This window comes from Homo sapiens, chromosome 4 (assembly GCF_000001405.40).
Source record: "Homo sapiens chromosome 4, GRCh38.p14 Primary Assembly".
Taxonomy (NCBI): domain Eukaryota; kingdom Metazoa; phylum Chordata; class Mammalia; order Primates; family Hominidae; genus Homo; species Homo sapiens.
Window position 1 is genome coordinate 146,175,172 of NC_000004.12, and position 16,777 is coordinate 146,191,948.

General features: G+C 38.7%; 1 protein-coding gene across 4 annotated transcripts, besides 1 other annotated feature; it reads left to right on the forward strand.

Moving 5' to 3' along the window:
- Window positions 1-546: 546 nt before the first annotated feature.
- On the forward strand, window positions 547-16,364 carry LSM6 (LSM6 homolog, U6 small nuclear RNA and mRNA degradation associated). 4 transcript variants are annotated; one of them, XR_001741098.2, is made up of 5 exons: window positions 547-640; window positions 7,741-7,844; window positions 12,103-12,216; window positions 14,451-14,610; window positions 14,910-16,364. XR_001741098.2 is itself a non-coding variant. In XM_017007673.2 (4 exons), the coding sequence occupies exons 2-4, from the start codon at window positions 7,751-7,753 to the stop codon at window positions 14,483-14,485; spliced, it is 243 nt and encodes an 80-aa protein (XP_016863162.1). In that variant the 5' UTR covers window positions 547-1,266; window positions 7,741-7,750; the 3' UTR covers window positions 14,486-16,364. The 4 variants fall into 4 exon arrangements, 3 of the variants coding, with proteins under 3 accessions (XP_016863162.1, XP_016863161.1, NP_009011.1); XM_017007673.2 differs by having other exon boundaries at window positions 547-1,266; window positions 14,451-16,364; XM_017007672.2 differs by having other exon boundaries at window positions 7,735-7,844; window positions 14,451-16,364.
- Window positions 697-756: a silencer, noted in NCBI's record as "silent region_15739". NCBI's record gives its function as "represses an Ori minimal core promoter by ATAC-STARR-seq in GM12878 lymphoblastoid cells {active_cell/tissue: GM12878}" and the evidence as "EXISTENCE:reporter gene assay evidence [ECO:0000049][PMID:35858748]".
- Window positions 16,365-16,777: the final 413 nt, after the last annotated feature.

Genomic DNA, 16,777 nt, shown 5'->3' on the forward strand with positions numbered 1-16,777 from the left:
GAAATAAGTCTGCACACCATTTCCAATAGGAACTAGTAATGTAACACAATTAATGTCATTATAATTTGGAGTTACTTGAGTGATTTTGATTATTTTTGTATCAATTAACATTGCCATGGAAACAGTCTCTTGCTAAAATGGCTTAAGTCTTCACACATTTAATCAATATCCAGAGGTAGATTTAAAGACTTGAGGTGTTTCATTTATTTATTTATTTGCTTTAAACTATTCAAGGACGTTTCTGGGTACACAATGCCGTTACTTAAACAGTAAATTCCAGTTTCCTATGACTTCAAGTTATTTTTTACACTTCTGTAAATAAATCCTGCCCAAAAGATCACTTCTAGTTTCCTGGAATTTTGTTTTTGTTTTGTATTGTATTTGTTTTGTACTCAGATTTCTGTTAGAGGAACTCCACTGCACCAATTTTGCTACTAGACAAACCAGGAATCTTGGATTTGCGCGCTTTGGTGCTGACAGGCTTTTTCGGCCCCAGCGGGCTGCCGTAGCAGAGAAGAGCACTGATTGGCTGAGGCAGAAAAGTGCCCCTGCCTCGGCGCTTTCGGTTTTGGCTGGGATCATCCGCGGCGGCCGGGCTCGTGGGGCGCCTGGAGTGAGGGTTCTGGTTCCCGCCGGCGAGGTGAGCCGCACCGCTGCGCGGGCCGACGACGGGGCCGGGCGCAGCCCCAGGTTCGGTGCCCCAGTGTTCAGTCGCGCTGTGGAGCGGCGGCTGCAGCGGCCCTAGGCCGGGCGAGGCAGCCCCGGAAAGGGCCTGCGGTGAACAGGCTGGGGCTCCGGGAAGGGACCGCTGGGTGGCGGGTCCCCGCGAAATGCCGCGTCCAAGCTCTCCGCGCATGGAATGGCTGGGAGAGGTCTGATGGTGGGCGCCGGGACCGCCCTCAGCGAGGCGCCTAGACTGCGCGGAGAGGAGCGGCACCGTCCCGGCTCCTACCGAGTTGGCGTCCGAGATCAATTCAGGTTGTTGAAGTTCCCCAGGGAGCCCCGACGCTAATCCCAAGATTCGGCGGGAAAGCGGATCCCGAACCCAGGCCTAGGCTTCGCCTGTCTTCCAGGAGGGCTTCAGGGAATTGCGAACCCTCTCCTACATCGGGGTGGCTGCGCCTGACCACAGGAATTAAAGGCTGGACTCGCCTGTCTTACCAAGTTGTCAGGTCGAGGAACCCGATTGTATGGTCTTAAGTCCTATCGCCCAAGGTTTTCTGTGCGTATGCGTGTCCGCACACCTGCATAGCAGGCATTTTTAAGGTGTGTAGGATTAAGATGATGCGGATTACCCTGCCCCACTGCTCTTAGTAATACGTGACTATTGTAGAAAATTGCAAACATAGAAGACTTTAGTGAAGAAAATAATATTCACTGAACCCTTTCACCTACGATCATTTTCTCTTGTATGTGCTAGCTTCTACTTGAACTAAGAGTGTACATGTTTAATCACTTAACAGTGTAGTTTTCCACTTCCATTTAAAAACTCTTCCTAAATATTATTCTAATTTTGTATCTTCTTTTGATTGTCCTATCATTGTGGGTCCCAGTTTAGGTCCCGTAAATTATTCAGTCATTTCCCGATTGTGGGACATTAGATTGTTTTTGAATTTTTACATCATCTTAGCATCCCAGATAGTGCTTTGATAAACTCTTTTCCCCCTATTTTTTAGATTATTTCCTTGGACTAGATTCTCAGAAGTGAAATTATCAGATTAGATGCTGTCATCTGAAAGGTCTGTTTTAGGCCTTCATACACATTGCTGCAGTGTTTTCCAAAAAAGTTTTAGAGATGTTTGGTAATTTTACTTGCTTAAATATTGTGCAGAAATCTTGAGAGGCTTGTGTTTGTGGTGTGTGTGTGTGTGTGTGTGTCACTGGCGTTAATGCGTTAGACTACCTGAATGTTAGGGCAGGAAGAGACTTAAGTGGTCATCTGGCATAACTCCCTTATATTGCAGATGAGGAACCTGGGGCCATGAGAAGTGAAATTATGAGTTATCCAAGTCACACAGCTAATTAAGTAGCAGAGCTGGGATTAGAACTCAGGTTTCCTGCCTCCCAAGTGAGTACTCTGTGCTGTATCAGGCAGTCTCTCACTGAACTGTGGCATAGTAGATACTAGAATTTAAAAATTTGTTTACATCACCTGGGTTATTCTCTCCTTTTAAAAGTGTACTAACAGATTTTAATCATCGGAGAGACCTGTAACACTGAAAAATTGGAAAGTGATCATTTTCATGGCCAAGACTAGAAATCCATTATTTAGAATGGCAACCCCTTCAAGATTTTGACAGTTGTTTTCAGGTTCCCTATATGTTAGAATAAAACACCCCTGATTAATTATAACCTACACTCCATCATTTGGTTAGAATGTAGCTTTTGGTTATCATTTGCGGTACCTTGGAGATTTCTTTAAAACTCCTCACTTTAAAACCAAAGAACAATTTTTTTTATTTTTATTTATTTTTATTTATTTTTTTATTTAGGGCTTATAGCAGAGATTGTCAACTTCCATTGACATTTTGTGCTGGGCAGTCCTTTGTTGTGGAGGGCCGTCCTGTTAGTTGTAAAATGTTTAGCAACATCCCTGGTCTCTACCCACTAGGATAGCAGTAGCACCACCTTCCTCAGTCATGACAGTTCAGTGTCCCCAGATATTTCCAAGTGTCCCTGAGCAGGGTGGGGCAGGGTTGGGGGTACTGCCCCTAGATGAGAACCATTTGCTTATAGAAATTATCTGGAGAACTTTATAAAATGTAAAATACAGTGCCTTTACCTGAGTAGACTTCGGGAAAATCTGCATTTTAACAAGCATCTCTAGATTTGGAAACAGCTGGTTCTTGAATGACACAAACAGTTGTTTTCTCAGTTTTTGGTGCTCATAATAGAGATTACTTGGTTAGTATTTGTTGAAGTACATGCATGATCCTACTGGTCACTGTATCCATAGTTTGGGCTGATGGGGGCTGGACAGGGATTTTGCTTGGCACTGGCCTTGAATGTCTCTTCCACAGACTTGGGTAGTGTGCTTAGGTACCAGGGACACCAAGTGAGTAAGATATTTTCCCTGTCCCCAAGAAGCTTTAAATTCGCACGGGAGACCAGTCAGCAAATGGAAAAATTACGAAACAGCCTGATAAGGGCCATGACTGAGAGTGGAAAGAGGTGCTCTGAGTGGACTCACTTCGCCTTTGGGAGAGAGGGAGAGAAGTAGCCCCTGCTGCCGAGGAAGGAGGGATTGGTATGAAGCCTTCAAAAGACAGCGAGGAACTCCACTGTGTCCGAAGGGAGGATTTAGAGAGCTGTTCTTCTGCCTATCTGATCGCCTCCTCAGACACTGATCTATTAGTCTAGTGCTGCAATTACTTGGATTGTAATGTTTCCTTGCAATTTTTGCTTTTCAAATTCTTTTCACCCTAAACTGTAAATACGCCAGGAGTAGGTAAAAACTTACAGGTAAACATTGCCAAGAAATAAGGATTTTCATGTCTTCTGCTCAGTGGCATAACTCAAATCACATGAGATAGATTTCTTTGCATCTGTCCATTGTATTTCTCTGAGGCTAATTTACAGCACTTTGTCACGTTAGGTATTTTTTTTCCCCAGTGCTGCTACTCTCCAACTGGATTTCTCACCGCCTCTATTGCGATTCCCCAAGATTTAACCAGAGAATCTTAACATATTCAGAAGGGCAGCTGTACCTGTGAAAGGGCTTGGGCTTTGGGGTCAGCCTTGGCTTTGCTTTCCACCTCACAGGGTTTCTCTGTAAATTGCTTATGAATCTAACTCTGGTAGCACATAGTTGGGTTAATAAAAGTTCTTTTTTTTCTTCATTCTTTTACCAAAAAGAAAAAAATTCCCTGCAGGGCACTTTGCAGATGTTTTCATACTAGACCTCTCAGTAGCTTCTGACAGAAAATATACTGCCTTTGACTTAATAGTCATTTATGAAAATAGGTCATTTAAAACAAGCCTGAGTAGGAGTCAGGGGAGGGAGAGGAGGTATAGAGAGTGATTATGACTTTAATTTTGAAAGGAGAAGTTTTACCAGGGTGACCCTGAAGAAAGGTCTTTTTCCTCTTATGTGTTTATGGTTCAAGAGACTCATCTCTTGCTTCAGAAATTGTCAGAACTGTTTCTTCTGCTTTATCCAATTTAAAAGATGAAAACTTAAAATTACTTGAGCCAAGTGATGGGAAAAATTGTGGTGTCAAGACCAATTTACTCATACAAAATGGATTTATGGGCAAGTCATTAAGTAACAGGGAGTAGCAAGGAAGCCTAATGAAGACTAATGTAAAAGATACGGCTTTCCTAAAGTGATGGATAAAATGTGTTTGAGGCAACCCATATACTCTTTTCCAAATAACCTTAGAAGTATTTTTTTTCCAAGAGGTTTAGTAGAATGTAGATATTCTAGAGAACAGATGAGAAGCTTGTGAGCCCCTCTTGTCATGTGGCTTACAGTATTTTGAGGGAGAAAAGACCCACATAAAGAATACAAAAGAGGGCATAGTGACAGGTTATAGCAAATAAAATCAAATGCCAAACTATGTGATGCCAAAAGTAGGTGAGATGGGCATCTGCACTCTGCTATGGAAAGTAGAGAGTGGAACCCAAGCAAGTTCCTGCTTAAAACCCCTGTTTCCTATCATTGACAACAGTATTTCCCCTTGCCAGTTATTTCCTAGGCTTGTTCAAATAGATTGCTGGCTCCTACCCCAGAACTACTGAGTAGAATCTCCAGCTGATCCTAATGATTCAAGTTTGGGAAACTGACCCAGAGCCTCAACTCTGTGCTCCCTGTGAATGTGGCACAGCTCCCTGCCGCAGAGGCGTCTCCTCCTTGCCTATGTAGATTTTACGTTCTACCCAGACACTTGTTCCGTGCCTTTTCTGACTTCTCTTCTTTCAGCTAGGGGGTGACGCCTTTTCCTTCAAATTCAGCTCAGGTGTTAACTTCCAGAAATTCTTTGATCTGCCAAGCCTGGGGTAAGAGAGTGTTCTCTGCCCTTTTGTGCATAATTCTATCAGAATACACATCACCTTTGTAAAATTCTGCATTTACATGTTTCTTGCCCTCTCTGGAATGTAAACTCTGAGGGCTTAAGGCCTTGTCTTTGTGTTACATTCCCCAACCCTGTGCGCCTGAACTTGACAGGTGCTCCGTGAAAGTTGGAAGTGTTGATTGCCTTCAGGAAGAGATTGATGTTAATTGGAATACAGATAAAGCATAATGGACAAGGCGTTATCTTTGGTGAGCTTAGAAGAACATATCTGTGTTTATAAAAAGGTGTGGAAAGTTAATATTAATAATACTTTTAAAATAACCTATACTGTCAAGCAACTGATAGTCAAGATTTGCATTCTTTTTTCTGACAGTTATTAACTCTTTCCAGCTTTTGCTTTTCAAATGTTTTTAATCTGAAACTGTAAATACTCTATGAGCAGATGAAATTAGTAATAATTAAAGTAGTTAATATCTCCATGAACTAGAATCACATTACAAAGCATTTTAGTGATTTTTAACACAAAATAGCTACTTTTATCTCAGTTTTATACATAATGAAACTGTGGCATAATGGGATTTAGCATCTGTGATAGGAAATGCACCTGACTCATCAGTTGAGTATCAGGCCTTCAGAGTTAATATTCTCTCTAGATGTGTTCAGCCTCAAAACAGCATGTATTCAAAATGTAAATAAGGCGGTTTATAGATGAATGGGAAGATTTGTGTATTTTCACTAAACTCATTAAAGGTACTGAATCTGTTACAGTATTTATTTTGTATTTTTTCACTTTGTACTCAGAACAGTGTAAATAAAATTACTGTGTGATCTGAGTCCTGAATGAAAAGTGGTTGTCCTGAATAGTAGTTGTAATAGTAGTTGTAATTGTAGTTATCTGTTGAGATTGTGGAGCTAATAAAATAAGCTAGAAATTCAGTGGAAAAGTTAAGTTAACATTTGTTGAGCAAAATAATTTATTGCATTTTAAAAACATCTTTCAAACCTTGGGGGCAGTGTAGATTGTCCAAATGATAGCCCAAAATTCAAAGATAATTTCTGAAATTTGTATTTTCTTTTATTTGACTTAGGATGTTGACTTTTCTTGGCTAAATAAAATTATTTTACTTAAATTATGATTGCGTTTGTTTACTCACACTCTTTAAATGAGTTTAAATTCTTCTAGATTTTAAGTTCTTTAAGGCAGAGCCTTTGTGTATGACATGTTTTTGAATTTCCTTGCTCAGTGTGTACATGTACATGTAATTTGTTGAGCCCAGTAACCTAGAGTTCCAGCTTACTACAACTGCTGATCCCGTGTGAATTCACTATGAGAACGTCTCCAAATAATCCTTCTCCACACAAACTCAGATTATTGAGTGGATGGACTTAGAATGAAATAAGCATAGTGGAAGAATGTTTAATGAAAAAATAATGGAAGAATATTTAATGAAAAAATTTCATTGAAAACAAAAGAACAGCTTGAGTTCTTGAAGGGAATCCTTAAAATATTGTATCCATACTAACTTTTAAGTCTCAGTGCTATATAGCTGCTGAATAATAGTGATGCTGAATTTGACTGAAACAGAAAAATTAATTTCTGAAATATTTTTACTCAGTTTTTGCTTAACTACAGTTTTATTAACTTACCAACATATTTTGAAAGAGAGCTATTTTATAAGAAAAGATGCGTTTTGAAAGGAGTGATGTGCAGCTTTGCATGTCTGATGCTGTTGATTTGGGTGTGTAATGCTATCTCTTTTTCTGTGTTAGACTCCTGTTATACTTGAGTTTTAAGACTTTTTTCTTCATTATTTAGAGCACATATCTGCTATAGTCCTAATAGAGTAATTAAAAATCTTTGACTGTGTTATTGACTTTCAGAAAGCTGTTTAAGGTTGTGATTAAGAGTATGGGCTGGCTATCCACTTTCTAGCTGTGTGACCTTGAGCAGAGTGTTTAATCTTTCTGTGTCTTCTTCTTCATGTGTAAAATGAGGATAAAAACAATACCTCCCTTTTAGGGTAGAGCAATTTAAATTGATTAATATATATAAAGTTCTTGGAAAAGTGCTGGCATATAGTACACTCAAAATTACCTTTAGATTATAATTCTTTTCAGAGATACCATTTAGGCATCAGTTGTTCATAAATATGTCTGTTCTATATAATACGGACTTTAAAATAGGGCTGATTTGAACTTGAATGTTCCATCACATTTGGGAACAAATTATTTAATCTTTCTGTGCCTTTACTTTTCATCAGCAAAATGAGGGTATTAAGACCTTCTTCCCATGGTTCTTGTAAAGATGAAATGTGATAGTGTTTATAAAGACCTTAGCAGAATGCTTTGCATAAAATAACCAACCACTCACTGAATGGAAGTGGTAATGGTTGTAATGGGTATACTGACTATGTGTCAGGCAGTAATGATAAGTGATTAAGAGCAGGTGCTTTTGTAAACACAGGACTTTCCCTAATGAGACTGTGCCATGGTGTTGTGGGTACTGATAAGATAATGCATGTAGAATGTTTAGCTTAGTATCTGGCTCATAGTAAGTACTGAAAACATGTTAGCTGTCATGTAGTAGCAGTGGAGTAATACGCGTCTTCTCGCATGGTCCTTTGATACTTCATTTTCTGTAAGTATGTTAAGGGCTTTAAGGGTTTTGTTGAATAATCAACTTTGGTCTTTACCTTTTATTGTTCCTTTTCATATTTTGATTTAGGATTGTTAAAATGAGTCTTCGGAAGCAAACCCCTAGTGACTTCTTAAAGCAAATCATCGGACGACCAGTTGTGGTAAAATTAAATTCTGGAGTGGATTATCGAGGTAATATTTTCATGTTTCAACCTCACTGGTATAACTGAATAAGTAAATGTGACTTACTGATATTTATTAACCTCTTAAGTATACCCAATAGGCCAAAAAAGTACTGGTCATCAGTAGTTTTTATGCATATATCTTTTTCTATCTCTGAGATCATTCCTTTTAGAAGGACAACTCTGACAGTATAGCATGTGCTTCTGCCTTTCAGTGTGATTTGTGTGACTTCTGTCTCCTGTCTCTGCTTTGAGATCATATGTGCCTAAATTCCCTGGTAATAGCTAGGTATTCCTAGTGAACTCAGGTATGAACAACACAACTGAAGAACATCTTGGTGCAGCAGCATTTGTTTTTGCAGGAGTATTCAAGATTGGCAAGCAGCTGTTGAGTATCATTTTACAACCTGAATGTCCCACTCATATAACGTATAATGTGTGTGGCAACAGGGTGAGACTCTGTCTCAAAAAAAAAAATGCCTTTCTGTTCTTGGAGAGAATATTATTTTTAAGAGGCTGCAGTGCTTTTGAAATTAACTTTATAGGAAGAATGGTTTTAAATTCCGTTTTTTAAAGTTACTGAATTTCTTATCTTCCAAGCTAAGGTATGTTAAGTTACCTGAAATATTTGGCAGGTGTAACTATAACTGATTCATTAGCAGAGGGACGTGGTCTCTTGGGTTGCTATAACAGAATACCACAGACTGGGTCATTTTTATTTTCATTTTTTGTATTTTTTTTATTATTTATTTCAGTAGTTTTTGGGGGTACAGGTGGTTTTTTTGGTTACATAGATACGTTCTTTAGTGGTGGTTTCTGAGATTTTGGTGCACCCGTCACCTGAGCACTGTACTGGGTAATTTTCTTTTTTTTTTTTTTTTTTTTGAGACGGAGTCTCGCTCTGTCACCCAGGCTGGAGTGCAGCGGCGCGATCTCGGCTCACTGCAAGCTCCGCCTCTAGACTGGGTAATTTTCAAAAACAGAAGTTTATTTTCTCACAGTTCTGGTGGCTAGGAAATCCAAGATCAAGGTGCCAGCAGGTTCAGTTGTCTGGTGAGGGCTACGTCCTCCAGAGAGGAGGAATGCTGAGTCCTCACGTGGCAGAAGGCAGAGGGCAAACCAGCACACTGCGTGAAGACTTTTTTTTAATGCAGGCCTTCATCCCATTAATGGGCAAGTCCCCATGGTCTGCTTGCTTCTTAAAGGCCCCCACCTCTTAATACTCTCCTATTGCCAAACACCTGAATTTTGGAGGGGACACATTCAAACCATAGCACAGGTTTTTGTGGCCTTTTTTTGGTCTCTTTTCTGAATAATTAATAGTCATAGTAATCTCTTGAGCTTTTTCCTTTGAAATCTCTATTGATTATCCCCACCTAGTAGAGGAGGAGCTAGGACTCAAGTTCAGGCTCGGCTCATAAGCCTTGTTAAGAAACCACTCTGGTGATTATGTACTCCTTTAGCTTCTTGACATTAATAACGTATCTCCAGTTTAATTTTATTTTTATAGTAAAATTAATGGATTCATACGGAATACTGAGGTAGTATAATGTCTCCGTGTACTGCCTCTCACCTGCGAACTTTTGATGATGGGCCCATAGGAAGTAATAGACTTCTAGGGGTTTTAATCTGTTTGACAGTTGATTAAAGTGAGGACATTGTGTTCAATGTCTTCTCAGTACCCACTTTATTGAAGAGATGAACCAGCCTGACCTTTTTTCTCTGTACTCTTTAGGGAAAATTTTTCTATTTATAAAGGCAATACATGTTTTAGTTTTGTTTTAATTTTAGAAATGTAAAAGGAAATAATACAGAAAAGTATATAGAAGAAAGCCAAGGATCCCCAATGCTACTATCCAGAGACAGTTTACCAATTTTGACCTCTATATTAGCATAATTTGACATAAATGGAGTCAACTACATGCAACCTGATTTTTTTTTTAAACGTTGAAACAGTACATTTAGTTTTGTAATAATATAGAGGGTTTAATGGCTGCATAGGAATCTCTTGTGTGGCTGTACCATGGTTTTGCTTTTACTGTTAACCAATTTCCTATTAATGGACATTTAGGTGTTGACCAGTTTTTTGCCACTATAAACAACTCTTCTACTTTGACATATATTGTGAAGTTGACCAAACATCTCTTTAGAATCAATTCCCTGGGCTAGGATTTACAAGTCAGAGAGTATTCCATGGCCCTGCATCAGGGAACTTGGGTTTATCCTTCATGTTCTCACCAACTCTTGTATTAGCTTTTTTTCATCTTTTCCAATCTAATTGGCAACAAGTAATATCTCATTCTACATATATTTTCTTTGTTTACTAGTGAGATTCAGGAGTCTTTCACATGGATAGTAACCATAATTTTTTTTCCTCTTATGAATGGCCTTTATACTATTAAAGCAAAATGTTTTATACTATTAGATAGCCTTACTAAAGGAACGTGCTTATTTTGTGGTTTACAAAACCCCAAAAAACCCCAAAGCAAAACAACAACATACCAAAAAAAAAAAAAAAAGAAAAACTCCAGCAACTCTCTGTAGCAGTTTCTCTTTGAGAAAATGTCTTGTTTTTGGTTTTGTATAGTAGTTTATCTCATGGAAGGAAAGGGTTGTATTTCTAACCCCCTGGGCAGTTTTTTTGTTGTTGTTGTTGCTTGTTTGTTTGTTTGTTTGTTTTTGCCTTTGCTGTGAGAATAGATATTTTAATTAGAAGTGAACTCTTTTTTTTTTTTCTTTTTTCTTTTTTGAGACCGAGTCTCACTCTTTCGCCCAGGCTGGAGTGCAGTGGCTCAGTCTTGGCTCACTGCAACCTCCGCCTCCCAAGTTCAGACGATTCTCCTGCCTCAGCCTCCCAAGTAGCTGGGATTACAGGCACCTGCCACCATGCCTGGCTAATTTTTGTATTTTTAGTAGAGACGGGGTTTCGCCATGTTAGCCAGGCTGATCTTGAACTCCTGACCTCAAGTGATCTGCCAGCTTCTACCTCCCAAAGTACTGGGATTACAGGCATGAGCCACTTTGCCCAGCCTGGACATTTCATTTTGAAATTCTTTTCATTGGTTTTCAAACAGGTTTGCATATTGTGCCTCAGATTTTTCTTGCTCATTTATAATTGCAGTTTGTATGTAAAATAGTACAGCAGGAAACGAGCTAAAGTTGTAGCTTAAGCTTTCTTTTGCTAGGAAATAATTTTATTATTCACAGTCCATTCTCGTTCTTTGAGAGTTTACCGCTTTTAGCAGAATTCTGGTAGATTAATGTCTTTTGCTGTCATTACACAATTTTGAAAGGAAACTTTTTTGTTTAGAGGATAATGGGGGCAGAGGCAGAGAGTGAGGAGCATATTAATGAAGTTAAGACATCAAATGAGAAACTATAGACTCGACTGAATTGAATCTAGTATTTGTTTTTACTTAAATTTTTTTTTCTAGGAAATACCACTTTAAATTAGAGACAGAATTAGAGGCTTACAGATTTTCATCTTTTGAAAAAGATCATCAGGTCAAATTTTACAAAATTTATACCATCTTAACACAATTAAAGATTGACTCAAACTGTTTCCTTGAAAGCTCCCTCGAATGTTTTTGGCCATTTTCTCTATTAGTTTTGATTGGAAAATATTATAGCTGTAACAAAACAGAACAAGATGTGTTATAATGCAATATGTTGCCCTATATTCTCAAGCTGCTCTTCACTGTGAGTCACAGCTTTAAGATGTTCTTTCGGGAGCACCTGCTGTCTCCTCTTCTATTATTTTAACAGATTGTGGAGACTTCCTTTTAACCCTGGAGTACATTCATCTGCTGCAATAGATGTTGTAAAAGAATGAAATAAATCTGCCAGACCCGTATTTCACTTAGTGGCTAAAGTAGGAAATGCCACTGGAACCAAGGATCATTTGTTTATGCATAATTGCCCACCTTGTGCTTAGCTTTCAAAGAATGGTATTTTTGCCGGAATAGTCTTATTCTCTTACTTTTTTGAATGCTTTAAAAGTTTCTGTGTGGTCATACGTACCATGAGGGAAGTGACAGTTTGTTGTTTTACCGGGTAGTAGTGGGTGCGTGACTGCCTTCCTAGACTTCATTCAGATTGGCATAGAGTTGTTTTGTGCTTAAGCTGTTGAGTTTCATTTATGGTGTGAATTTTTATATTAAGCATCTAAGAACTAATGAATAAAGAGATTGTCTGCTCTAAGGTATACCCTGTAATTTTCAACTCTTATTTGCCTTGTGTATCTTCTTTTTGACTAAATATGTCTGCAGGGGTCCTGGCTTGCCTGGATGGCTACATGAATATAGCCCTGGAGCAGACAGAAGAATATGTAAATGGACAACTGAAGAATAAGTATGGGGATGCATTTATCCGAGGAAACAATGGTAACATTTCTTCGCCCTACAGTACAGCATTCAAAATAAGCCTTTCTATTTATAATCCAGATCACCAAAGAGGTTTCTAGATAATTTAAAAGTCCACTTTTAGGCTTGATTATTTTAAAATGCTTATATGTCAGATCTTCAGTTTGACCAGTTATTTTGTAGATGCTTCATGGAATTTTGAAACCAAAATTCTCTCCTTCCCTTCCTTTAGTGATGAGGAACTGAGGGACATTGTTCTCCTTACCTGGAACCCTGCTTTCTCGAATATAGTGTAGTATATCTCCCCAACACATATTCCTGCTTCTTGTAGCCTGGAAGTTGGAGATGTAAGAATGGGCACCGTTTCCCTGCTGTCTTTGATTTGCATAATTTGGCAGTTCGTCCTATTTGTCCCTTCTCTATTAAACATTCAGATGCTTTCTATGCAGATTTGCATCCTTCAGTTTGGCAAAAATGGCAAAATAGAAAAAGTTACTCAGTTTTTAACAACTAATAAATTGCTATGATTTTTATAGTTATTTTTAAGTACCTAGTTTAAAAATGAAAATTATAATAAAGTCATATTTGTATTTTTGGTGGGGAGGGAAAGATATCAGAATTATGAGAATTACCCCACTTTTTGGTTCCATCTCCCAGAAACTCTGGGATTCTTGAGTTCAGATTTTTTGTTGATTTCTTTAATTCTGGATGTCTTCAACCCCCTAAATAGTTGGATCTCTTTGCTATAAACTAAACTTCCTGACTTTTATAATAAGAGTCTGTCCCCTATGCTTACAGGACCTTATTTCTTCATATCATATTTTTACATACATTATTTCCTGGCTTTCTAGTCCTTTCTATTTATAGAATTATTTATCCTATTTTTCATATCCTTATTTGACCTCCTCTTTTTCCTAAGAAATGTTATGATCTTGTCTCACCTCAAGACAGCTAATGGCAGCAGTCACTGGCAGGTTGGGTTCTGTGCGTGTTGATAGGGTAGATCCTTTAACGTGCACACTACCCCTAGGACTTGGGGGGCAGGGTTGGGGGGCGGCTGTACTGGCATTCTGATGCTTCCCTTCATGTCACATTTCCCATGATGTAATCAGTGACACTCATCTTTAGACTCCCAAGTTCACATCATTGGCTCTTAAAGAGGATCTTGACTTATTTGATTCATCTGTGCTATGTTCTTTGATGAAGACACCTTACTGTTCGCTTTGAGCAGACCTCTCAGAAGCCGAGTAGGCATGGAAGGTGGAAGGGAGAACCACCTCTAGTTTGGCCAAAGTGACCCAAGCATTTCATTTTGTTTCATTCCTACGGACCACACATCCTACGAGTTCATGTTGGTAGTCATGAGAAGACCACTAAGCAGAACATTAGGTAACACCAAAGTATGAGACTTTTAACGGGAACTCAGAATAAGGACTTTGGTATCATTAAAAAATAAAAATAAAAAATAAACTCCTTAGCTCTTGTTTATCCTGTTGCATTTAAGAAGGTAAACAGCAAGTTTAGAGTTTGTATTGGGGAGACAGATGAAAATATGTTGTTTATTCTTAATTTGAGATCTAGCCTGGTTAGATTTACTGATTTACTTTCTGAAAAGCATCTTTTTTTTTTTTTTTTTTTCCTGAGATGAAGTCTCGCTCTGTGGCCCAGGCTGGAGTGTAGTTGTGCAATCTCAGCTCACTGCAGCCTCTGCCTCCCAAGCTCAAGCAGTCCTCCCACCTCAGCGTTCTAAGTCGCTGGGACTACAAGTGCATATACCACCATGCCTGGTTAATTTTTTGTATTTTTGGTAGAAACGGGGTTTCACCATGTTGCCCAGGCTGGTCTCAAACTTCTGAGCTCAAGTGATCCACCCGCTTCAGCCTCCCAAAGTGCTAAGATTGCAGGCGTGAGCCACCGTGTTCAGCCCTGAAAAGCATAATTCTTATACTTCTAACTATAAAGCATTCTTAGATACCAGGGACTTTCACATATATTTTATTTTATCTTCCTGGTCACACTTTAAAGAGTCAGTGAGACACATGGATGAAATTAGGACAGTTTTGTAAGACATCAAACCTGGGTGTAGATTCATAAAACTAGTCTTACAGTACTTCTAGAGTTAATTGAATGATACGAGAATTCCTTTTAAATGTCAGATGTATCAGACCAAAATCTGTTGGCTTTTAAACTTGCTACTATGTATACTTACAAGCAGGGTTTTTTAAATTTCAATTTATGTATTTTTTTCTTTTCAGTGTTGTACATCAGTACACAGAAGAGACGGATGTGAAGACACCAAGAGAGCAACGCTTTTCATAGTTGGATATATTTTTTTATGAATTTTTTCTAATTTTTGCTTCTTTTGTGATACAATTTGTCCTCTTTTTATAATAGTTGGTGATTTTTCACTGACATGTGAGTAAGATAAATGTATACAATTGTGGATTTAATTGTGAAATGTTCTTTCACTTGTAAGTTTCAGTCATTTTCTTTTACCTCGTTGTCAGTGTACAGAATGCTAAAATAATTAAAAAAAGACAAAATATACCTCTTCCTACAAGATTATTTAACTTAAGTTTCGAGAAGTGTCATTTCATTTGACTTGCTTTTCTTATCCAGCTAAAATGATGCATATATTTTATATATTGTATGGACATATAATTAAAACATTTTGGAGGAATCCTCCTTTATTGCATCCTTTTCTGTTCATACAGAATCCTTGCGTGAATATGTTCTACAAAGGCATCCAGTTTCAGTCTGAAGCTACAAAAAGGGGCCACAGGATCAGAAGTTCAGCCACTGATTGAGTCACCTAAATAAAAAACAGAATTGGAAAGCCAAGAGTGCCACTTGCACATAAGGAGTGGGAATTCGAACTGAGGTGCTGGAGAAATCCTAAAGATGAACAAGATTTCAGTGAGGAGAAAGCCCTCCTGTCAGTGGTCCCCCTGCATCTCCTTATGCAATTAGACTTTTTAGGTTTCCCTGCTCCCTTTCAGGAGCATTGGCATCAACGTTATTCTCTCAGTTTATGAACACAGTAGGGGAGGGGCCATTCCTGTACATCTCTCACAGTCAGATTAAAGCAAAGCCTAGAGTTTGTAAACATAATTCAGGTTCTAATTGCCGAGCTGAGATTGGGAAAGAATTTTTCCTAACTCTGGTCTAGCAAGTGGCTGTAGGGAGGCCTTTCTCAAAAATCAGCTGTATTTGCCTTTGACATTGTCCAGGAGCAGAGCACCAGGCTTTATGTTGCTTGGCACAAGGCAGCTCCTCTGGTTATGTGACTCCTGCTGAGAGGATTTTCACAATTTATTAATGAGCTTTCCACAACCCTGCTTTATTCTCCAAACAGTTTTACGCTGTCTCTAGGAACAACAAATATATCTGGGCACTGTGGTTGAATGAATACCAGACAATTGTGTGAATGTTGTATTGGACTTCCTCTTCCCTCCCTTCCCAATCTAAATAGCATTCCTATTTCAGGAGCCGATGGTGTGATTCGAAACAACTGCTTGGTTGAAGGATGGGGGGCAGGATCGAGAAGGAGAGAGGGAAGGGGCAGTGCTGATTCTGGAGAGGTGTATGTAGTGTTTTGTCTTGGTTTATTTTAAAGATCAGAGAGTAATTGGAAACAATTATTTTTTAATTAATAACTTGGGAAAGGTGAACAGAAGCATTTCACAGGGTTTTACCGTGTGCACACTGAAAATAAAACACTTTATGCTATGCTTCAATAATTTATCACTTCTTGACAGGGGCTTGGAAAAGGTCCAGTATGTAAGTACAAATCACCAATTTGCTCTTTTATAAATGAGTTCTTTTAAGGAGAAAATGGATGGCTCTCCAAGTGGAGCATACATGTTCTCATTTGTTTTGTAGAATATGTGGGGCTGCAGGTTATTGTGTCCCTTCATTCACTTATATCAGCCACCTCTAAAAGCAATTCCATTGTAGTCTCCCACTAATCTGTAGCGTCCTGTTTTTTCTAACTTCTTCCCTGACCTCGCCTTTGATATATAAGTCTTTATTTTCCCCTTGCCATCTCTCTAGTTTAATAGCTCTACAGTGGAGTACTGTTTTCAACCATGGAACTACTTTTAATCAAGATCAACTTTGGGAAGTGCTGCCATTTTTATGGTAATAAAGGACTGTATTATGCACTTGAACCCGCTCAAGTTGTCCCCTGTGTATACCTTCACATAGTAGAACCATGAAACAAAGTGTAAATGCTTAAATTGCTTTGTTCTTAACTGTAGTCTCCTAGAGGTCAGTGAATGATTTCTAGTTGCATTGTAGCGAAGACATTTGTTCCAGGTTGAAGAATTTTTTACTTGAGAACATACATTTTCCCTGTCTGTGTGCCCCCAAACCCTGTCTGCCACACTCTTTCTCTTGGGCTGTGACAAAACAGAATGTTTAGCGAGAAACAAAATTGTGCTCGATTTTCAGACTATCTGACTTCATTTTCTGTTTTGGTCTTTGAGCTATTCCTTGGCTAATCTTCCAACAAGTCGAATTGATTCTTATTTCAAAACTGTTTATCCCAAAACAGAGCTGTTGACAAGTACAAATACAGATG

Excerpts from the sequence above, each read along its gene's own strand:
- LSM6 (XM_017007673.2), top strand. The coding sequence starts at position 7,751 with ATGAGTCTTCGGAAGCAAACCCCTAGTGACTTCTTAAAGCAAATCATC. Across the intron at positions 7,845-12,102 it reads TTCTGGAGTGGATTATCGAG|GGGTCCTGGCTTGCCTGGAT; the intron begins GTAATATTTTCA and ends ATATGTCTGCAG. Across the intron at positions 12,217-14,450 it reads ATTTATCCGAGGAAACAATG|TGTTGTACATCAGTACACAG; the intron begins GTAACATTTCTT and ends TTTTCTTTTCAG.